Source organism: Homo sapiens, chromosome 7 (assembly GCF_000001405.40).
Source record: "Homo sapiens chromosome 7, GRCh38.p14 Primary Assembly".
Classification (NCBI taxonomy): Eukaryota; Metazoa; Chordata; class Mammalia; order Primates; family Hominidae; genus Homo; species Homo sapiens.
In genome coordinates, this window is record NC_000007.14 from 105,765,469 (window position 1) to 105,787,903 (window position 22,435).

Here is a 22,435-nt window from a genome sequence, read left to right on the forward strand (position 1 = left end):
TCTGCAGATGAACAGAGTCTGAAAGAGGCAGAAACAGGAACCCAGACTCATCTCTTAACCCCAGGCAAATGATCCTCCTGTGCTGTCTCTCATCCCCCTTGGGTCATCTTGCTGCTCATTAAACTACTAATTGGGAAAACATAAAAGGAAATACTACTCTCCCCTAAAAGGTTTCCAGTATGAAATCCCCGGCTAAAGCTTAAACTGTGGGATTTATTTTGAAATTTTAAAGTTCATGCTAGATTTCTCCTTCAATACCATAGATAATGAAGAGCTGGCTATAAACTTCTTATGGTCACCAGCATTAGTAGCCTGTGTAAGAATCCGATCCATGCTCAACAGATCCTGCTTGGAGACGATGCTCCACATTTCCTCCTTTCTCAAGGTGTCTCAAAGATGCTTATGGACTCACTGTAATACTATCAGAGTAGATGACTTTCCTGTATCTGGGATGAACTTGAACTGATCCAGTCAAGCCTGGGCCCTTGTGACCAAGGATGTCTAGTTAATCTGGCAGCTGTGGGGATGAAGAATGTGACCTATGGCCACAGAAGAAATCAAAACTGTCTGGCTAGACCAGAAACACACTCAACCCTTTGGCATAGGCAGGAGGTGTGCCGAGGGGCTGAGCTCATTCGCCACACAGGCTTATCCTTCATTTACAAAGGAATCGCAGGTCAACCATGTTTTGGCAACTAGATCAGGAGCCCTCTTCTGCCTATTGCATCCTTGGACATAATCTGGTGGCTTTATCGATATATAAGCAACAAATTCAAAGTCCACGTGGGCTGCGTAAAAAACTCTGAATGTATCTCTCAAGCCACTTACAGTGCGTGCAACGTGAAGGAAACTGAAATGTATGCACCTTTCCCACTGACTTTCTGTAATCAAGTCTTTTTAGCACAAAAAGTTCAACTTCCATCTGTTTTTAAGTCAGGGATGCTTGTTGGTTTGTGCCGAGACATTGATTTGATTAGTAGCATTCTGTGGAACTACAGACATGAGATGTTGAGCTCACAAACGTATGATTCATTTCGGAATTTTGAAATGAGAAATGCACCTATCAATGACACAGAAGCTGGGAGATTCTGAGAAAGCATTTCATGCATATAAATGGGACATGTGATGAAAAAATATGCTTATGGTTACAACCCCGAAGCCAGGGACCACCCCACTGTGCTCTCCACCCTCGAGAAGTGACGGCTCCAAGGGAAACCGCTGGGATTAGACGATCCTGTGTTTGGACACCCATATGCTGCCTCATTTATCTACCTGTGACAGGGACAGTGCTGGAAGAGAATCAAAAGATGACAAATTGCTTCTGGTTTTAAAGGAGCTGTTCAGGCTGGGTGTACACCCAGGGGGAACCAGCTTCCGTGCCAGGAGCCATCACTTCATCCCAGTCTAAGGCCACATTTTGGCAAACATCAACCAGCAGATGACTGCTGTCTCCTTTCACCAGTGGATTCAAAGACGCTTGCTCTGAAAGCCCGAAATTCAGTCTTTCTGAAGACGTGTGCAGCAGAGAGCAGATCTGCCCACACACTGCAGTGAGGCAGGACGGCGGGCAGGAAGCAAGGGTTCCAGATGACAGGGATTTTTCCCGTGTTGAGGCAGACAGATAACAGGGGAATGATTTTGCAGGGGAATGACTCCAGAGCAGAGAAAGTATAATATCAGTAAATGACCCTAGAAAAGACTGATACAAGTGAAATAAGTGCACAAAAATTTCCAAGATGCTGGCCACTGGAATCCGCTTTTGGGGACACAGAAGCCCCCAAGATTCCAGCTTTCCTGGGGGTAGAAGGGAGGCCCACCGGGAGTTTCAAGAGGGTCCACCTGAGCAAAACCCGGCCCTCCATAAGCCCCTATACTCGCCAGCCCCTGGTCCAGCCAAGGCCATGTATCCATCCAGCTACGATCCTTGCTGCTTCTCTCCCGCCATGCGTCCTCTCTGGGAATGACTATGTAATTCATGGTTAACCCACTCAGTCCTCTGGAGGTGAGCTTTCCTCAGCCAGTCCAGCTTGTTTCTTCTCTGCCATGTGCTGAAATTCACAAGGCCAGAGAAGTGCCTTGCTGTGTTTAAGTGTATAGATGTCTGGTGTTCTCCTACATGTTGCAGTCCTATTTACTTATTTTATCCTCCTGACAACCTCTGAGACAGGTACTATTATTACCCCCATTTTGAGCTTGATGAAATTGAGGCACAGAGAGATGAGGACTGGCTGAAGGTCATACAGCCAGTGAATAGCAGAGCTAAGGTCAAGCCCAGATAGCTTGGCTCCAGGGTCTGGCTCTTTCAGAACCCCTCTGCTGCCTCTCCGATAGAAAGCTCCTTGAAACCCAGCAGCTGCAGCCCATGTGGGCACTGGCTTGCTCAGGCCTTCCTCCTTCTCCAGTCCACCCCTCTGGAGTTCGACTGGTACTCAGGGCTGGAGTGCAGAGCCTGCAGTGTGAAAAGACAGAGGCTCATCTCCAAGCCCCTTATTTGTTTCTAAATTCAGGCCAGACGTCTAAACGTTTGTTTTGTGCTTGTTTTGAACATTCCATCGTGATGCCCAAGGACGCTTCATAGATGATCTCTCTGTTCTCCTTAGTGAGCATCTGGCCCCCTCTCCTCAAACCTCTTGTCTCTGGGAACACTCTTCCTGCCACCAACTGATGTTCCCTGCCTAACCTCATTACACATTTCAGCTAAAAATGCCTATTTTCCATGTGGCAGTGAGGTATAATTATAGCACAAGTTACATGCCAAGGCATTTTCAAATTTATCATTTCTAATAATAACCTTGGTATATAACCACCATACCCATTCCATAGATGGGCAAACAGAGGTAGGAGGTCATAGCAAGGTTGCAAGGGACTCCCAAATTGCCAGGTCACTTGAGCCACTTGCATACAATTCTCTCTCCAGATCGCTTTCTCTCAACTTCCTATTCAACAAACTTATCTGTGGCCTAGGAATGAGAGACGTTAACAGGATCAAGTTGTATCTGTGCCTGTACTCCAGCTCTCAGAATACTAACAAGCGACTCTAAGCTTTGGTGGCAAGGTTATCAATGCTTAGCTTTCAGCCAAAACCCATCACGAGTAGGTTTACATGCATGAAACATGTACTTGGAGTTTTTGGTCTGCACAGTTCTCTTATTACCCATTGTAACTAATCAGAATGCTGAAGGGATTTATTCCCAGCATCTGCTGAAATGACCATAACTTTTGTTCTGATAGAATCTTCTGGCCAAGCAATGAAAGGGTAGACTAGAACCTACAAGAAGACGAGTAATCTTCCTTCAGAGTCAAAATCGTAAAACTGGTTTTCAAATAGTTATTGCAGAAAGCTTGGGTCCTGAGTAAGGAAGATAGAAGACAGCTAGAGGATGTATTCATTGCATGTAAATCTAGAATTAGAAACTGTAAATGTTGGAAGTTTCATAAAAGTAAATTTGCCTCCTGTACTGGGTGCATTTTTTTGCTGCTCTGTAAGCCTTTTCCCCCCCTGGGGTCTCTATCCATGGAAAATGCAGTTGTGGGGAGTCAGGAATCCTGACTTCTAGTCCCAGCTCTGCCCCTATCACTTGTGTGGCCTCAGGCAAATCACTGAATTTCTTTGAGCTTCCAAATCTGTGAAACCAGTTTCCGCCAGTGTACCTTACTGAGTTGTTATGAAAATGAAAATGAGTGAGCTACAAGAGTGCTTTGGAAACAGCAAGATACTGTAGAAATGGAAGATATTTCTATAGGCAAATGATCAAGCTCAAAAGGCAGTCGTGAGTACAGAAGACTCTCAACTGTTTTCAGAGGAATCATCTTCCAGAGACATTGCTGAGAAGTGGCTTCTGGAAGCGTGACCATGGAAGCGTGACCATGCCAGTCTACCTCACGGTATTCAAAAACAGGCGACGGCACACTATTTTGTGTGTTTGCTGTCTCTACTCGTGTTCGTGCTTGACTCTCTTATCCCACCACTCAGGCAATGCTTGGCCCATAGTGGGTGATCAGAAATGTGAGACAAATTAAGGAATGCCAGCCTAAGTATTTTAGTCCCCCGAGCACAGGAAGTTTGTTGGTGGGAAGGAATGGGGGCGAAGACGGGAAATTTCTGGAAGCCTGAGTGTAGGGTGACCGGCTGACTCAGGCCTAAGGGATTTCCCAGGACAAGATGGTCATTCTACCTGGATGTCCTATTTGAATATCCACTTTGCTTCCTCCCAGTCAGCAGGGCATACAGTATCTGAAGAGAAGACTGGTAGAAGGCATAAGTGTCTCTGAGTTCCTGAAGAGTAGATCCCTAGGGATTTATAGCCTGGGCATTTTCTTTTACCTTTTTGTCTCCTTAGTTTCAATAGGTGGCATCATCTTTTCACCATCAGGAATCCCACAGAATCATGCCCCTTCCATTTTTCCTGCATCAGATTGTCACCTCTAAGTTATTTTCCTGATCCTTGCCAGTGGCGTTCTGCCACCAGCTGAATCTTCTCCCTAACAGCTCGTGGCATTCGGCGTAAAACTGCAGCCTTTAGCAGGACTTGCATTTGGAATTGTTACAAGTGCTTTGTGCAGGCTTCACCAGAAACACGTGCACTGCAGAATTGCTGCCTGGATCAAGATCTGACTGGTGCATGTAGCAGGGAGATGACATTTTGGGCCAGTGCAGTGATGTGATTAGTTGGGGATTTCCCCTTTAAAAACTTACGGCAAAAGCCTGCCTGAGACAATTCAATATTCATAAATGGAAAGCATAGATGGCGTTTCTGCTCTGCCAAGAGCAATAGCTATTTATCATGGCAAATGACTGAAATAGTTGTACATACAATGCTTTACTCAGCGCTGTAAATTACAGTATACAGAAGATTAAGCTTAAGCCTAATGCTACCCTTGAGCTTCAACAGCTGAGTCCTATAAATGGATACCCGTTAAGAGGAGAGAATCTTTTTCCTGGTTACTACTTAGGAGTGTATCTCTATTAAAAGCTTGTCTTAAACATAAATTACCAGGAAGCCTGCCCCTTACCCCAGGCAGACTTTTCCTCAGGGCATTGACTCACATGAGTCACATCTAAATGACACAGTGACAGGCCTGAGACTATAAGTGTGTGCTGTGCTGACCTCAAGAGGGACAGCAGAGGAAATGGGGGTGGAGGTGGAGGGACTTCACAGAGCACTGAATGACCACTCACTTTTAGCCAGTCTGATCTGAGCCCAAGGAGGGATGGAGAGACCCTGCCAGACCTTAAGGAGACCTTTAGAATTAAAATAATCCTGAACCCCAACCCCTTCAAAGAGAAAGTTTCTTTATCTGTTATTCTGTAAGCATCAAGGAACCATGACCTAGAGCTGAAACTTAAATTTCCTAGCTAAATTCTATTCTCCAAGCTCTTGCTTCTCAAAGTGGGTTCTGTGGACCAAAAGCACCAGCATCACCAAGGATCATGTTAAAAATACAGACCTGGGCTAGGTGCAGTGGCTCATGTCTGTAATCCCAGAACTTTGGGAGGCCGAGGCAGGCGGATCACGAGGTCAGGAGTTCAAGACCAGCCTGACCAACATGGTGACATCCCGTCTCTACTAAAAATACAAAAATCAGCTGGGTGTGGTGGTGGGCACCTGTAATCCTAGCTATTCAAGAGGCTGAGGCAGGAGAATTGCTTGAAGCCAGGAGGCAGAGGTTGCAGTGAGCCGAGATCGCGCCACTGCACTCCAGCCTGGGCGACAGAGCAAGACTCCGTCTCTGATAATAATAATAATAATAATAATAATAATAATAATAATACAGACCTACTGAATTGAATCAGAATCTGCATTTTTACAAGATTTTTTGGACGATGTATATGCACAGTAAAGTTTTGAGAATCAAAGGACAGGGAAGCAGGTGTCAAGCAGGGAGGAGGAGCCCCCTGATGTTCTCACTGAAAATTATGACAAATGACAAATCTGATTTATGAAAATAGGTCCTAGTAGTGGATCATAGGATTCTGAGTTCCCCTTTGTCCAATCCTACTTCAGAACACTTTCGGGAACTTGAGAGAGAGATTATGAGCTGTGAATGAAGTATCACTTGAACTTGAGATGTGCCCCAAAGCATCTCAGGGTGTAAAACAGTGAATCAGCCAAAAGTTCATGCTTCACAAATTAATCAGGGTGCCTCTAATCCCCTATGAATTAGTAGGCTGAGAAGCATTGCCAGTGTTTTGGGCCATGATTTCAATTCTTTATTGTAATTACCAGTTGACTGTAAGTGGGTAAAGTATGCAAAGATTTTTGTGTTATCTGAGAAGACAGAGATTGTGGATAACTTTAGTCTTTAAAAACTAAAGTTCTGTATGCATGTTAAAAACGTAATGGCAATCATTAAACATATAGATTTTAGAAATAAAATCTATTGTGACCAAGATACCAGGGGGAAAAATGGGGACAGGTTAAGGAAAATTGTACTAATCTAATGGAAGGCAGAAAAGGAGAACAAAGAAGCAAACAAAAAGCAATGTAAACGGAAATATAAATTAGAAGTTAGAAATAAGTCCAAATATATAAAGTAGTTACAATAATTGTAAATGGATAAAACTCACCTATTAAAAGACAATATCAGATTGGAATTTTTTTTTTTTTTTTTTTTTTTTTTTTGAGACAGAGTCTCGCTCTGTCGCCCAGGCTGAAGTGCAGTGGCACGATCTCGGCTTACTGCAACCTCTGCCTCCAGGGTTCAAGCGATTCTCCTGCCTCAGCCTCCTGAGTAGCTGGGATTACAGGCACATGCCACCACACCTGGCTTATTTTTGTATTTTTAGTGGAGATGGGGTTTCACCATGTTGGCCAGGCTGGTCTTGAACTCCTGACGTCAGGTGATCCGCCTGCCTAGGCCTCCCAAAGTGCTGGGATTATAGGCATCAGCCACTGTGCCTGGCCAGATTGGACTTTTTAAAAAGCCAGCGATATACTGCTTTACAAGAGAGACACCTAAAACAAAATGACACAGAAAAGTTGAAAATAAAAGATTGGAAAGAAATAAATGAGGCAAATACATATTGACCCAAAGAAAATTGAATAGCAATCTTAATCAGATAAAATAGAACCTAAGGCAAAAGCATTAATAGGCACAAAGACACCACTACTAAAAAGACCTCACAATTAAGCTTACATATACCCAACAGGACAGCCTCAAAATTGTAAAGCAAAAGGTGTCAGAGTTACAGGAGAGACTGACACACTTAGAATTATCACAGGAGACTTAAAACTCTCTTCCCAGAAATTACAGAGCAAGCAAACAAAAAATGGCAAGAATGAATAAGATTTAAACAAAATAAACAATATATGGAATACTGTACACAAGAGAGACATTAAATAAATTTTCTAATAATACATGATCTAAATTACAAAATATACAATAAATATATGGAACTCTGCCCACAACAGAGAGATTATATACATTTTTCAATCACGTGAGACATTTACAAAAGTGGTTCACATGCTAGCTAGTCACAAAGGAAGTTATCATGAATTATAAAATGGATAACCTATAACTAATGTTCTCTGACCACCATCAATTAAACAAGAAATCAAAAATAAAACAATAGTAAGGCCACTCCCTCACCATCCTTTACATCTGAAAACTAAAATCACATTCCTAAATTACCATCTGGCAGTGGTGTGGTTTTTTTCCTATGTGTGGCCTAGTTGCTATGGGACTAGTTAATTTACATGACAATTATCAGGGGTATCACAAGAAGCAGGAAACTCCCAGACCATTGTAGCTTCATTATTTTCTATTTTGAACTAAACTCTAAGCCAAAGGGAAAGTGAAGCACCTGATTCCCACAAGACAAGAAGGGCATGTGTGAATTAATTATGACCTAGTCATACGGCACTAGAAGCTGCTCTTGGTACATTCCCAGGCCCATGCCCTGCACTGCCACACTATACCCATCTCTTTCTGCTCGCCAGTGCTGGGTGGATGACGAGACTGTCCTTGAATTGCCCCTGGGACCTGGGAAAAGGTGCTATTTAATGGCTGTGGCACCTTACAATTAATGTCATCCTGGAATCGAGAAAATACCGTAGTTAACTGTTTGTAGGGGACCTTCTGTCTGCTCTTTCACTTCTGAAAAAGGAGTGGGAAAGGCTAAACAGGAGACACAGGGGGAAGATATAGGCCCAGGTATCTCAGGAAAAATGAGCACTTCCCCCTAAAAATCCCCCCAATCAAAACCAAAACCAGATGGATAGTTCCTCCCCAGGATGTGCTACCAGTCCAATGCAACTCCAGTGCCGGCTGAATAATGAAACAAATACAAAAAAGAAACCCCCTAACAACTTAAAAAGGATGGAACGCAGGATCGTGGTAACATTGATCAAATCACATTGATGGCAGGCCTACAAGTTGTGTAGACAAGTGAGGGTCGGGGAGAAGTGGTTAAAAAAAATAAATGATAGGACCGTAGTTCTTCAGCCTGCATGTGGGGCACCGGGGAGGGCAAAAAGTCCAGTGGTTTCTTGGCTCACAAACATTACAAGCCACAGAGGAGGGCAGCTCTGGGGTACACCCTCTTCCTCTGGCCACCCCACTTGTCTCCCAGGCTGGCTCTGCACTGCCACCATCACCAGTACCCACCTCAAAGAGCAGCTAAGGCAAAGGTTGGCCATAAGGGCTAGAAGTTCCTCACCACCAAACCCTAGGGACCCATGGGTTTGTTGTAAGAATATGACAAAGGCAGCTCAGCCAAGAAAGTGGGAGGAAAATTTTCAAAGGGCCACCATCTAGCCCCTGCCTTCTTAAACGCACCGGGAAACTTGATTCATGTTTTTGGAGCTAGTGTCACTATCAGGATGATGCCCAGAGCTGACAAATGCAGGTCACAGGATTAGGGTGTCAGTCAGAGCCAGCAACCCTTTTTTTTTTTTTTTTGAGACAGAGTCTCCCTCTGTCACTCAGGCTGGAGTGCAGTGGCACGATCTTGGCTCACTGAAACCTCCACCTCCCAGGTTCAAGCGATTCTACTGCCTCAGCCTCCCTAGTAGCTGAGATAACAGATGTGTGCTACCACACCTGGCTAATTTTTTGTATTTTTAGTAGAGACGGGGTTTTGCCATGTTGGCCAGGCTGGTCTCCAACTCCTGACCTCAAGTAATCCACCTGCCTCAGCCTCCCAAAATGCTAAGATTACAGTGTGAACCACCGCGCCCGGCCCCGCAGCCTTCTCATTAATAAGAAGAGCACTACCATATACTCATTAATAATGAGTATTATTAATGCGCTTTGGTTAAGAGGGTTGCCTCATTTAAGAAGGTGCTTGTTTAAGAAGATTACATATGGGGTGGAGGCAGCCACTTATAAAGATGAGCAGAAAACCACAGCCACAATGTAAACTAAGCCATTGTTATCTTAGGAAAATGCACCCCTAGAGAAGGCTTCGGAATTTGAGAAAATAATTCAGGGGGAGAAAAGCAAAGTATCTATGACGCTAATAAACAAACAAATAACAGAAACCAAATCTTAAGACATCTGTAGTTCCAGCATGGTAAAACAAAGACAATGGTTGCTTTCTCTGGAAAAAAAAAAGATTATTTTTTCCAGGTAAAGTGGGATTCATCATAGTGAAATGGTTTACTGACTCTTTCATCCTTTATGCCCCCCAATTTATGTTTTGCCCTAGACCTATCTATTTCCTATGAGTCTCCTATGCAGCATTCCCAAATTTGCACCCAGTTTTCAGAAGCGCCTGGCCCTGCAAAGGAGCAAGGGAAAGGTCCTACCCAAACAATCAACGGTATTCCCCGATTCTAGGATGCCATTAATTGTGAGATGTAACATTAGTTTAACAGCACCTTTTTCTGGGGAGGGGGGAACCCAGAAAGAAAGCCTGGCAAAGTAGCTCTACACATCATGGGAAGAAGCACTGCGGGTTTAGAAAAGATATAGCTTGGAAGTATCTTTAGAGATTTGTAGCATCTGGGGGCAAGCCTGCACACAGGTTTCTAGCATGTGACACTCCAGGAAGGAGTCAGTAACTCTCCGTGATCCCAGATGAAGACATAAGAATCGGCTCCTTGAGAATACTCCGAGGGCCTCCCTAAAGAAAATTGATGCAGAATGCTGCAGCTTACATGGGATTGGGTTCTAGTGTCAGGGTGGGAGGCGAAAATCCTGTAGGACAAAAACTCCTCTTGAAAGAGTACAGTACACGTAGTATGTGGGACAGTGGGCCCTTCCCATGGCCAGTTTCTCCTCCAGAGTTGGGAAACATCTTTGTTTCTTTGCTCAGACACCAGACGAAAGGGTGAGCTAGTGTCTAGGCCCACGTTCTTAGGAAAAACATGCAGTTTTGTTGTTCTTGTTGCCCACTGCATGTGGCTGAATTTGGATGAGGGCGATGTGACTCCAATGTGAAATAGATGCATTTTTGTTTTTGACTCCAAGACCTCTTGGCGCTTTAATGTGCTAATAGCTGCTATGAGGCTCTGGGAGGGGGAGTCTGGCACAGTTTCCCAAGGGTATGCATCTACCCAAACCCTTGTTCTTCGTATGGGCTCACTGTTCCAGAGAAAGCACTGTTTGGGAGATGCTTCTCTGCTTATGGCTCAGGATAGGGAGAATTCCGAGATGACCTTTTGAATCAGCGCTGCTAACATTCTTTACTCAGATTTAAATACAGGAATGTTTGTTACCCGAATTCTCCTCGGTGGATACAGCTCTGAGGAATGGAATGGAGCAGCCTGTATGGCAAGGACACACCAGTGATGAGTCAGAAGCCAGGGGTCACGTTACAGCGAGAGCCCTCCAGCAATCAGCTGTGGTCAGGGATCAAAGCCATGGCCTCCCCACTGCTCACAGAGGGATGCCTTTCCAACTGCGTCTCAACAGAGTTGGTCATTCTCTTTCAAGCAGCCATGTCTTCCAAATGATTGTACTTGCTTACATGTGGAATTTGGCTTATTCATAATTGGTGAGCCAATTTCCCTTCCTTGCTGGCTTCCTTCCTTCTTTCTTCCAAGATTCTTTTTTTTTTAAGAAAAACAAACAAACAAACAACCCCCCCCCCAAAACAAACAAACAAACAAAAAACAGTATATTGGGCATCAACTTTTGAGATCCAGCACTCCTTGTGTGGACTCAGGGAATTGAATGGTGAGCCTGACAGGGGTCCTTGTTCCTTGAGAGTGTGAGAGGGGGGAGGGGTGGATAAGTACATAAGAATTTGCACCAGCCACCATATATGCTAATATTGGTGAAGCAGAAGGTGCCAACAGCACTTGAATTTGGGATTGGAGGAGTGCTTCCTTCTGCCTGTTTATCCACCTGTTTATCCCAGACACTTTTTTTTTTGAGACATAATCCTGCTCTGTCACCTAGGCTGGAATGCAGTGGCACAATCTTGGCTCACTGTAATCTCTGCCTGCCAGGTTCAAGCGATTCTCGTGCCTCAGCCTCCTGAGTAGCTGGGATTATAGGCACGTGCCACCATGCCTGGATAACTTTTGTATTTTTAGTAGAGCTGGGGTTTTACCATGTTGGCCAGGCTGGTCTGGAACTCTTGACCTCAGGTGATCTACCCACCTTGGCCTATCCCAGACACTTCTGAGTGTCTACTAGAAGCCAGGAAAAGTGCTCCCTGGTGGGACTCAGCGATGCCCAAGGAACAGTCCTAGCCTTCAGGAACTCACTGTCTAGTGTTCACAGTGACTCTTCTGCACAGTAATCAGTGCTATAGGTCACAGAGATGCAGAGGGCAAAGGAGCCAGCTGACGATTGAGTTGGGTGGCAGCTAAGCCCAGCATACATGCCAATAAAACACTGAGGGTACTGCCAGCCTAAAAATGGTGCCTGTTGGTGAAGCAAAAATGAAGTCATCTGTCCTTGGAAAAAAATCTCAAGACACAAATAAAATCACCTATTGTCAATTGGCTATTGTCAAGGCCAACAACCCTCAGGTTGCTAACTTAGCGACCTCTTCTCTTTAGTGTCTTACTCAACCTCTTGGCATTTGACATGATCTATGAAACGCTTTCTTCTCTTGGCTTCCGTGTAGTCATTCTCTGCTGCTTTTTCTGCCAAGTCACTGGCCATTCTCCTTCAACCTAACTCTAAATAAATGTTGACTCTTCCCTTTCCAATCTAATCCAATCCATTCTGTCAGCAAATTCTGTCAGCTACATTTCCAAAATAGATCTCGAGTTTATCCTTTTCTCTCCATCTCCACGGCTACCACGATGATCTGTTACCGCTAGCTATGCATTAGCTCCTTCCGGGTCTCCTGGGCTCCACTGCAGCCAGAGTGAGCTTCAGAAAACAGAAACCAGATTATGCCTTTCCCTCACTCAATACCCCCCAGTGTCTTAGCACCACACGTAGAGTAAAACCCAACCTTCAGACTCTGTTCTACATGACTCTGACATTCTGGTCCTTGTCTACTACTCTGAAGCCCTCAAATGTGCCTTGTTTGTTTTTACTCTTCTGTGTTCTCTGCTGGGACACTCTTGTGACAGCTTTTCACATGGCTTGATCATGTATTTGTTTATGTTATTTAACCTACCAGAACATAAGCCTCAAGAAGCCAGGCCCTTATTTGTCTTGTTCACTAATGCATCTGCAGCATTAGAACAGTGCCTGGCATATAGCAGGTGCTCAATAAATATTTTTCAAATAAACAAATGAATTGAAACCATGTGACTCTGGAGAATGTAATCCAAGACATTCAGCCTTCAAGAAATAGGCTTTGATGAGATAATAAGTAGAAGATTGTTTCAATTAAAAATGAATTCTGGCTGAATGTGGTGGCTCATACCTGTAGTCCCAGAACTTTGGGAGGCTGAGGCAGGAGGATCGCTTGAGCCCAGGAGTTTGAGACCAGCCTGGGCAACATGGCGAAACCCGCATCTCTACAAAAAAAAAAAAAAAAATTAGCCAGACATGGTGGCTTATGCCTGTGGTCCCAGCTACTCGGGAGGCTAAGGTGGGAGGATCACCTGAGCCTGGGAAGTTGAGGTTGCAGTGGGCAGTGATCATGCCACTGCACTCCAGCTTGGGCAACAGAGGAAGACCCTATCTCAAAAAAAAAAAAAAAAAAAAAAAAACAAAGACTAAATAATCCTAAAGTTATGAAGATCCTATTAATTTATTTCTAAATTTGAACTGAACCATTATATCTGCTGTGTGCTTATTTGCAACATTTCTACTCGATTCACAGAAACATGAAAAAAGAGAATTTCACTGAATGGAGGAAATTTATCTACTCTTTGTGAGTCTCATGGATCTGCTCATTTGTTGGGGATAAACAAGAAACTACAGGTAGAATTTTTAGGAGAACATATGTGGTACCCACTCCATCTCTTCTACAAGCTTCCTTCTTTTTGCTTTCATGTATTTAAAGGTCTATTTCAAATGCTGTGGTTAAGGCTCTAAACACATTCCCTATTACCAATTTATTTCTCCTTCTCCCTTACCTCAAAATTGTGTTCAAGTTCTCTGCCTATGCCAATAAGCAGAGAAGATCAGTGGTGTGGATTAAAATGAGAAAGAGCAATGAAGCTCACCTGCCCCAAGCACCTGTTATTTACTTTTCAGCATCCTACAGGGGATGGAAATGACTTTTCTGCATCAAAGTTTAGTTATGGTATTGCAGCGAGTTTGAGACACAAAACATATAACTGATGTAGTAGTTAAGGCACTCTGGAGTCAGACATTGGAATTCTGGTTCTGCCAGTTACATCAGCCTGATCTTGAACAAATTTCTTAAGTCCTCCGGGTCTCCCTTTCCTTGAGTGTGAGATAAAGATAACACGACCAGATATCACCTTAGGGTGATGGCATGATTAAATAACACATTAAAATGTTTAGCACATAGTAAGTGCTCAGTAAGTGTTTTAGCTTTATTGCTGTTATTTTTATCCTGCATTAGGGGAGTGAAAAGTGGGACCAGGTCAACCTGCTATGTTCTGGACCCAGCATTAACTTTAATTTGAGCAGTAGCAAGTCCAAAATATAAAAACTTGAAGTGAAGCAAAACATGGTCCTACTTAGTCGTAGATTCTCTCGGTTGTAATGCTTGATTTATGGGATAATCCTTCGTTAATCAGTCATTCTGTCATTTCTTTCCTTTGAGATTTTCCTAGGGTCCATCATAAGGATTTCCTTAGCATCTATAGTGTAACTGCACTTTACTAGGGATGGTGGAAAAATGAAATAAGCAAAAACAATAGCAGACATTGTTTCTGATCATAAGGAACTCAAAAGATGATATCAATACCAGGAGTTAATTCTGGATTTGGGAAAGACTGATCAAATTCAAGTTAAAAAAATTCTACTGGTGAAATAAAGTTTGCACAGATTCCTGTGCTCTTGCCAAGTCTTATTAATTAATGTTATCAAACGACAAAGAATATGTTCAATGAGAATAATTTCCTTTATTTTATACTTCTGATGTTAAAAAAATCTAGTCATATAAAAGACAACTAACAATAACAGTAACAACAATTTAATGTCAGCAAACAAATCTAACTTAATTGACAAAAAAACCCAAGCCCCACGCAATGGCAATCAACACCTTCAGAAAGGAAGTCTTGGCGGGATAATTAGCAGGTGATAATGCCCCTGACACTCTGAGAAGCCCAGGGGGCACTGACATCAGGAGGGACTAACTCTCTCTAGGGCTCAGAGGCACACATGGTTTGTCTCTTCCTCAACCAGAGGTCACCTGGAGATAGACAAAATAAAAAGAACAATTGCAGGGAACCTTGGATCCTCATGATTTAGGCTCCCATGTGTAGCACTGCTGAGACATGCTGTTCTCAGTATCCAACCAGCATCAGCATCTGGATGTACACAGAAGGATGGGGTGCCAGCCAGGACATGCCATGCCTCACTCCAGGGGTGAGTTTCTGCCACTTATTTATTTTTCTGCTCAGCCTCTCTGCTTTAGCTCACAGTTCATTAAATTCTACTGCATCACCATCAACATGAAAAACAGCTACTTGAAGGGCATTCAAAAATATAATCAGAAAAGGGAATAAAAAGCCCTCTCTGAGAAGGAGGAAAAAAAATCTAATCCTCTCTTGTCTATTGAATGACATCCAGGTTCTCTGGTTCTAAACCATTTTTTTTTTTTTAAGTAGCAGTGACATCCAAGGATTATCTCTGTCTGATGGGCGGGGTGTGCAGCCGTATGGCCTTCTGCTGAGAGGACTAGTGCCAAGTGTGGCAGACAAATTCTGTGGGATCTGTGTACATGAAGGTGTTATTTCTTTTGCCTTTAAAAAAAAATTATTTTGAAGTGGAAAGGACTGCAATTTTATGGACTGCTGTAAGATAACTTGTTTTACACTTTGCATGTATGTGTGATGGGGAAATAATTCCAATGGCTAGCTCTGTGCAAGCTGAAGGAGTCAACTTTCTACATGCGGCTGTGATTCCACAGAAGTCATTTCTGGGCATAAACACATATTTTACTTTGATAAAAAATTTAAATACAGAAAAGCATGAAATACAGTATAATAAACAGGGGCATGTTATATTTTACGGCAGTAGTTCCCAACTGGGGGCGATTTTGCACCCTAGGGGCTATTGGCAATGTCCCGAGATGGTTTTGGTTGTCAAGATTAGGAGTGGGGTAGAGACTGCTATTGCTATCCAGTAGGTAGAGGTCAGAGAAGCCACTCAACATCTTATAGTAAGACACAGAATGAGCCCCACAGCAAAGAATTATTCAGCCCAAAATGTCCACAGTGCCCATGCTGAGAAACCCTGCTTTACTGTAGGTAGTTATGTAACTATATTAGAAGATAAGGACCCCCCAAAAAATCCTACTTCTTTCATTTAGGCAAATCAGACAACTCACCATAAACGTTCACCCCAATTACAAAACTACAACCTGGATCTACCTATTATTTTTTTCTTTAATTACAATAGTCCAAATTGACTGAAAATACACAATTACTAAAAAGTAATAAAAAATTTTTTTCCAGTATAGGCACCTTGCACCTCCTTGTTTTTGTCTTACATACATGCCTGTGCACACACACAGAGCATCATCCTCTGCCCTGTCCCTGGATTCTCTCTGGGCTGAGGTAAGGACCCACCACAGCTCTGACAAGACGAAGAGTCACAAACATCTCCTTTTCCACAGTAATCACAAGTGAAAACTCTGGACAAGATTTCATTATAAATCTCTGTAGCTTATCCCTCAGTTAATAATTGTGAAACTTTTTTTTTAAAGCAAACTTTGTTGTACCACTGTGCTTTCCACATGCAAGTTCCTTTAATCAACATGAAACTTTATGAGATAAACTATTATTTCCATTTTAATACGGAAACAGAAACACAGAGGCAAAGTAACCTGCCCAAGGTCACACAGGGAATAAGGTGCAGAGCTGGAATTTTTTTTATTTTTATTTTTTGAGACAGGGAGGGTCTTGCTCCATTGCCCAGGCTGAAGTGCAGGGGCACAATCTCAGCTCACTGCACCCTCCACCTCCCAGGCTCAAGCAATCCTCCCATGTCAGCCTCCCAAGTAGCTGGAGCACAACACTACGCCTGGCTAATATTTTTGTATTTTTGGTAAAGATGGGGTTTCTCCATGTTGCCTAGGCTGGTCTCGAACTCCTGAGTTCAGGGTGATCTGCCCATCTCGGCCTCCCAAAGTGCTGGGATTACAGATGTGAGCCACTGCGCCTGGCCTAGAGCTGGAATTTTAATCTATCAAATGGGTCCTAGAGAGGTTACACTCAACCACTAGGCTCACACGCCATGTCAATGCATCAAATTGGGATGGACAGCTACGAGGGACAGAGATGCCTGCAGAGTGGAACTGGGACTCCCAAGGTAAGGCTTCTTGTTTCTGTTTCCCCCTTTCTACAACTATTCCTAAATAAGCTTATCCATTCACCTAAGGGACTTTAGAAACAAACTAATCCCTTGAAATCCTAGATCTCGTGGGGAGAAGTTTAAAAAGTGTCTAAAAGGCTGTTGGTACAGACTTAGGAAACAGACCCTAGGAAGCCATCCCTAATGGGGTGACACAGAACGTGGCTCCAAGAGCACTCCACTTCCATGCCAGGCAAAGGGTCTCCCCAGCAGTGGTTGCACCTGCTTTCTACATCTGGGATGCCAGCATGGGGCACACGATCAGGAGCAGAAGGACTGTGGCCAGCCCTGGGCGGGGGGCTCCATGTCACCCCTGTAGGACGCTATGGCACAGGCTGGATGGACCTCGGCAGGGAACGCAGAGAGATACTGGAGCTTCACGGCATTTCTAAAAGAGCTGCCATAGGGGCCTAATGTGAATGTAAACCAATATTTGCAAAGCCAAGCCCTCAGGACTCCTAGCAAATGTAATCATATTCAGGCCAGCATTTCTTGCCTCCAAGAGTGTGGGAAGCAAAAGATGAATCACAGGCGAAAGTCTGTGGGCTGACCTCAGCGTGCACATCCTCTGAGACAGGGCAAGAAATGAAGGCAGGAAGCACTTGACTGAATTGGTTTTCCCATTTTTCATAAGAAACATTCAACTTAATAAAAAATAGCCACAATTTATTGACAATCCTTTCTTTATTCCCTTACCATGTGCCAGAAAACGATACAACCTTTTTCTGTGTTCTTCACAGGAACTCTGCAAAGCAGGAATTGCCATCCTTATTTTATAGACGAGGAAAAGAAGGCTCAGAAGGTCATATAAGTAGCTCAAGGTCAAACAGCCCGTAAATGTTAGGATTCTAACCTGCCTCTGTTTGACTCCAAAATTCATGACTTTTCCACTATGACATTCTATTTTTCACACTGGTGCTGTGATATTGTGATATAATAGGAAACATATATTTGGTCTTTATCCCCAGTTTCTGGCACAGAGCTCCTAAAACCCTTGTAACTTCCTGAGTGACAGGGGTGATAGGAATATCTTTCATTGTATTGGTCTTAGTCCTCAGTTTCCTGACACAAGAGCTTCTCAGACCCTTGGGATCTCTGGAGTGTCTTTTTATGCTAATGAGATGACTGGTGGCTGGCGTACATAGGCAGTTTCAGGCTGGGGGCCGGTCACCAGAAAGACCAATTGGAGATTGAGCCAATCACCAATGGCCAATGATTTAACCAATCATGCATGGAACCTCCAAAAAACCCTAAAGGATGGAGTTTAAAGAGATTCCAGATGGGTACACACATCCACATGCTGGGAGGGTGGTGAACCCCAACTCCACACAGGGACAGACGCTCCTGCACTTAGGACTCTTCCAGACCTCACCCTATTATCTCTGACTGTTCATTTATATCCTTTATAATATAAATAAACCAGTAAACATTAGTAAAATGTTTCCTTGAGTTCTGTGAGTTGTTATAGCCAATTATTGAACATAAGGAGGGGTGTGGAGACCCCTAATTTGTAGCCAAGTCAGACAGAAATGTGGGTAACCTGGGGACCTATTACTTGTGACTGGCATCTGAAGTGGGGACACAGTTTTGTGGGACTGAGCCTTTAACCTGTGGGGTCTGTGCTAACTCTGGGTAGTGTTTTTTTGGTTCATGTTTTTTTGAGACAGGGTCTCACTCTGTTACCCAGGGTGGAGTGCAGTGGCACCATCATAGCTCACTGCAACCTCAACCTCCTGGGCTCAAGTGATTCTCCTACCTCAGCATCCTGAGTAGCTGGGACAACAGGCACATGCCAACATGCCTGGCTAATTTTTAAATATTTTTGTAGAGATGTGGTTTCACCATGTTCCCCAGAATGGTCTTGAACTCTTGGGCTCAAGCAACCCTCCCTCCCTTGGCCTCCCAAAATGTTGGGATTATAGGTGTAAGCCACTGCGCCCGGCCCCAGCTACAGGTAGTTATTGTCGGAACTGAATTAAATCGTAGGACACTGAATTGGTACCTGCAGAGAATCCCCTTGGTATGGAAAACTCACAATTTGGTATCAGAAATGTTGAGTAAGCAACAGTTTTCCTTTAACCACAAATTTCTGAAGTCCCCATAACTGACTGGCTAAACACACACACACACACACACACACTTTTTTCAATTTAAGTTAAATGACTAGTATACCAAGATCTTGAACACTGCCATGCACCCATGGGAGAAGCGGGAGGTGGCACACATGACAGCATGGCAGGAGGGGAAGTGGCACAGGAGAACAGAGTTTTGTGGCTGTTCAGCACGAAGAACTGCATCCAGCTGGGGGCGATGGGGAAAGACGCCATGGAGAGAAGGGAAGAGAAAATGAACCTTAAGCCTCACATCAGTCACATCATCCCAGCAACCCCCTGAGGCAGGCAGAGTACCCATTTTACAGATGAAGAAATGGAGGTGAAGAGGGATGAGGTGAGCTGCTCAAGGTTGCACAGTTAGTGGGGGAGTCGTGAATTGCTTTGTCTCATTCCAAAGCCCATGCTGTCTCCTCTACATCAACAAAGTTCAAATAATGTTCTGTGGAGCCCTGGCAGGTGGGGGGTGAAAAAAGTTAGGAGAAGGCTGCGTCCATGGGGCTTGGACCCCTGCCCCAATTTTAACCTCAACAGCTCTGCTTCCCATATATATTTATGGATTGGGGTTTTATATAAGATTCCATTTGAAAGAAAGTTTGGCAGTTAACCACAGGGTGTTGGCCTGTGCCCAAAATCAGACCTCGGGCAAAGCACTGACCTCCTAAGCCTTAGCTTCCTCAATTACAAAATGGGTATAACATTAACACCCATGTCACAGGGCTGTTGAAAAGATTACATGCTCAAAGCGATGGAGGCTGGGCACGATGGCTCATGCCTGTAATCCCAGCACTTTGGGAGGCCAAGGTAGGCAGATCACCTGAGGTCAGGAGTTTAAGACCAGCCTGGCCAACATGGCAAAACCCCGTCTTTACTAAAAATACAAAAATTAGCCAAGTGTGGTGGCGGGCACCTGTAGTTCCAGCTACTCTGGAGGCTGAGGCCGGAGAATTTTTTGAACTGGGGAGGCAGAGGTTGCAGTGAGCTGAGATTATACCACTGCACTACAGTCTGGATGACAGTCTGACTCAAAAAAAAACAAAACCCAAAAGACAAAACGAAACAAATAACAGATATGGAAAGCACTTGGCACAGTGTCTGGCACTCGGCACACTGGCATTCTTATTAACTTGTGGAAAATAGCAAGGCCAGTGCTACAAGGAAAGAGAAAAAAAAAAGAATATTGCTATGGACTGAATGTTTGCGTCCCTCGCAAATTCCTATGTTGAAATCCTACCCGCAATGTGATGGTATACGGAGTTGGGGCCTTTGGAGATAATTAGGTCATGAGAGTGGAGCCCCCATGAAGGGGATTAGTGCCCATATAAGAGACCTCAGAGAACTCTTGTTCTCTTTCCACCATGTGAGGACACAGTGAGAAGCTGGAAGTCTGCAACCTGGAAGACAGTCCTCGCCAGAATCTGACCTTGTTGGCATCCTGACCTCAGACTTCCACCCTCCAGAACTGTGAGAAATACATTTCTGCTGTTTATAAGCCACCTAGTCTATGATACTGTTATAGCAGCCTGAACTGACTTAGACAATCATGAAGCTATTGCAGGAATTTTTAGGGACACTAAAAAGTACTCCCCACAAAGAGCTACAATGGTTCTAACCTCTGCTTTGCACTCTCTGGGTCTTGATAAATGTAAGTTTGTATTTGTACTAGGACACACACCTAGAGCTGAGGGAGGCCTTGGTGCCTCAATTTGCTGAGTTGTGATCATGTCCCCATTGCTGCTTGTCAGCTTGTTCAGCAAGAAGCTTAACGGAGACTGGGCTTTGAGGGACGAGATCAGTAACCCCAAACCCCCAAACTAATTTACTGCATTGCTCAGAGCTCCCAAAGCCATGGGCTGTCCCCTAAGCTGACTCTTGGCTCTTATGCCAAGAGCCCCAGGGTTGGGGGAGGCAGGTGTATCAGCTCTGCTAAACACCAGAGCCTCCTCCCTTGGCAATCTGGGACCTTTCCCCTGGGAAGAACTCTGCAGGGGACAGCGGGGTCCCATGTTTTGGGTCCCTTTCAGGATCCTTCCATCAAAGACTCCAGTGAATTAAGCTCTCAGTGAAGATTTTTTGGGTTTCGTTTTGTTTTATTGTTTGTTTCTCTTGAGACAGGGTCTTGCTCTGTTGCCCAGAATGGAGTACAATGGCACAATCATAGCTCACAGCAACCTCGAACTGCTGGGCTCAAGCAGTTCTCCCCCTCTGCCTCTCCAGTAGCTGAGACTTACAGGTATACCACCACACCTGGCTAAATTTTTTTTTTAAGAAATGGGGTCTCACTATGTTGCCCAGGCTGGTCTCAAACTCTTGGCCTCAAGTGATCCTCCTGCCTTGGCCTCCTAAAGTGCTCGGATTATAAGTGTAAGCCATTGAACCCAGTCCCAGTGAAAGTTTTGATGGCTTACAATAGAATGCAACCCCTTGTTCCGTGCCTATAACAGCTGCACATCCTTGTGAATTGAGTGAATGAAAATCATATTCAGGATGATGTAGCCTCTGCGTTCTCACAAGACGCACAGAAGCACTGGTCACGGAGCTTCTATGCCTGGTCACTGAACCACTGGCTGGGTGGGACCTTCTTGCCATGGCTCTGCTTTGGATTCTCCACCTGTCATCTCAGCTGGTGGTACCAGCTGACAGTTTCTCTTTGGAGAGGTTTAACCCTTTCTCTCTTCCAGGCAGTGGAGAGGGTCATTTGGTACAGAGCACTAGGCAAGAAGGTCAACTTGTGCCAGGCACACGACTTGCTCCTTTCCTGCTCAGTCTGCCAGAATGAACATGTCAGAGCTGGACACACCCACAGAAGTCATCTTCCCATGGTAGGGACAAGGAAACCAAAGCCCTGAGACATCAAGCAAGTAGCCCGAGGACACAGTGCTGGCTGCAGGGAGGGGCAGAAGACTTGGCCTCTGACCAAACCTCCTCCTATAGCGCTTTCTAGGGCCCTTGCTTTGCCTTGTGCTGGTTTGAAAGTCCTGGACTCACTCCCAGAGGTGCTCCGTAAGCCTGAATTCTACACATTACAAACACAAAATATGCCTACAGTATATACACAGATACAGATTATATATATGTAGATATGTATATATCATATACATACATATACACGTGTTTGCAGTTGATAATTTGTATATAGAGAGACTGTTAAAGAGCTTGGATAAGCTCAACTCCCTTTATTTTATTATAGAATAATGATAACTGAAGAGGTGGGGAAAAGTCAGAAATTCGGAACGTGAGAAAGGGGAAATGTGCGTAATTTGCAAAAGCATATTCAATATTATAATTGCTTTGACTTTTTTTAGGCACAATAGAATGTACTTCGAAACCTTAATGGTAAGGAGGGCATTCAGATTTTATGTTCATCAAAAGGGAATACAGCTTAAATAAAAAGATTGGGAGATACTGTGCTGGACTCACAGCATATTACAGCTTTGGAAATTGTCTAATCCAATTCCCTGCTATAGATAAGG

At 44.1% G+C, this 22,435-nt stretch overlaps 1 protein-coding gene across 3 annotated transcripts in view, besides 10 other annotated features; it reads right to left on the reverse strand.

Annotated features, from left to right (window-relative positions):
• The window catches only part of ATXN7L1 (ataxin 7 like 1), a 271,828-nt gene that overhangs the window by 160,697 nt on the left and 88,696 nt on the right, over positions 1-22,435 (reverse strand). The window lies entirely within an intron of this gene.
• Positions 1,325-1,384: an enhancer, noted in NCBI's record as "active region_26470". NCBI's record gives its function as "activates an Ori minimal core promoter by ATAC-STARR-seq in GM12878 lymphoblastoid cells {active_cell/tissue: GM12878}" and the evidence as "EXISTENCE:reporter gene assay evidence [ECO:0000049][PMID:35858748]".
• Positions 3,489-3,990: an enhancer, noted in NCBI's record as "H3K27ac hESC enhancer chr7:105409403-105409904 (GRCh37/hg19 assembly coordinates)". NCBI's record gives its function as "activates a minimal SCP1, AML or CMV promoter by ChIP-STARR-seq in naive H9 embryonic stem cells {active_cell/tissue: H9 hESC(naive)}" and the evidence as "EXISTENCE:reporter gene assay evidence [ECO:0000049][PMID:30033119]".
• Positions 3,991-4,490: an enhancer, noted in NCBI's record as "H3K27ac hESC enhancer chr7:105409905-105410404 (GRCh37/hg19 assembly coordinates)". NCBI's record gives its function as "activates a minimal SCP1, AML or CMV promoter by ChIP-STARR-seq in naive H9 embryonic stem cells {active_cell/tissue: H9 hESC(naive)}" and the evidence as "EXISTENCE:reporter gene assay evidence [ECO:0000049][PMID:30033119]".
• Positions 6,835-7,334: an enhancer, noted in NCBI's record as "H3K27ac hESC enhancer chr7:105412749-105413248 (GRCh37/hg19 assembly coordinates)". NCBI's record gives its function as "activates a minimal SCP1, AML or CMV promoter by ChIP-STARR-seq in primed H9 embryonic stem cells {active_cell/tissue: H9 hESC(primed)}" and the evidence as "EXISTENCE:reporter gene assay evidence [ECO:0000049][PMID:30033119]".
• Positions 10,187-10,770: an enhancer, noted in NCBI's record as "NANOG-H3K27ac-H3K4me1 hESC enhancer chr7:105416101-105416684 (GRCh37/hg19 assembly coordinates)". NCBI's record gives its function as "activates a minimal SCP1, AML or CMV promoter by ChIP-STARR-seq in naive H9 embryonic stem cells {active_cell/tissue: H9 hESC(naive)}" and the evidence as "EXISTENCE:reporter gene assay evidence [ECO:0000049][PMID:30033119]".
• Positions 10,187-11,938: a biological region, named in NCBI's record as "CDK7 strongly-dependent group 2 enhancer GRCh37_chr7:105416274-105417473".
• Positions 10,360-11,559: an enhancer, noted in NCBI's record as "CDK7 strongly-dependent group 2 enhancer chr7:105416274-105417473 (GRCh37/hg19 assembly coordinates)". NCBI's record gives its function as "activates an origin of replication core promoter dependent on BRD2, BRD4, P300/CBP, MED14 and CDK7 cofactors, with strong dependence on CDK7, by STARR-seq in HCT116 cells {active_cell/tissue: HCT116}" and the evidence as "EXISTENCE:reporter gene assay evidence [ECO:0000049][PMID:35650434]".
• Positions 10,771-11,354: an enhancer, noted in NCBI's record as "NANOG-H3K27ac-H3K4me1 hESC enhancer chr7:105416685-105417268 (GRCh37/hg19 assembly coordinates)". NCBI's record gives its function as "activates a minimal SCP1, AML or CMV promoter by ChIP-STARR-seq in naive H9 embryonic stem cells {active_cell/tissue: H9 hESC(naive)}" and the evidence as "EXISTENCE:reporter gene assay evidence [ECO:0000049][PMID:30033119]".
• Positions 11,355-11,938: an enhancer, noted in NCBI's record as "H3K27ac hESC enhancer chr7:105417269-105417852 (GRCh37/hg19 assembly coordinates)". NCBI's record gives its function as "activates a minimal SCP1, AML or CMV promoter by ChIP-STARR-seq in naive H9 embryonic stem cells {active_cell/tissue: H9 hESC(naive)}" and the evidence as "EXISTENCE:reporter gene assay evidence [ECO:0000049][PMID:30033119]".
• Positions 17,941-18,170: a silencer, noted in NCBI's record as "fragment chr7:105423855-105424084 (GRCh37/hg19 assembly coordinates)". NCBI's record gives its function as "represses an EF-1alpha promoter that drives an FKBP-Casp9 reporter gene in an ReSE screen in K562 erythroleukemia cells {active_cell/tissue: K562}" and the evidence as "EXISTENCE:reporter gene assay evidence [ECO:0000049][PMID:32094911]".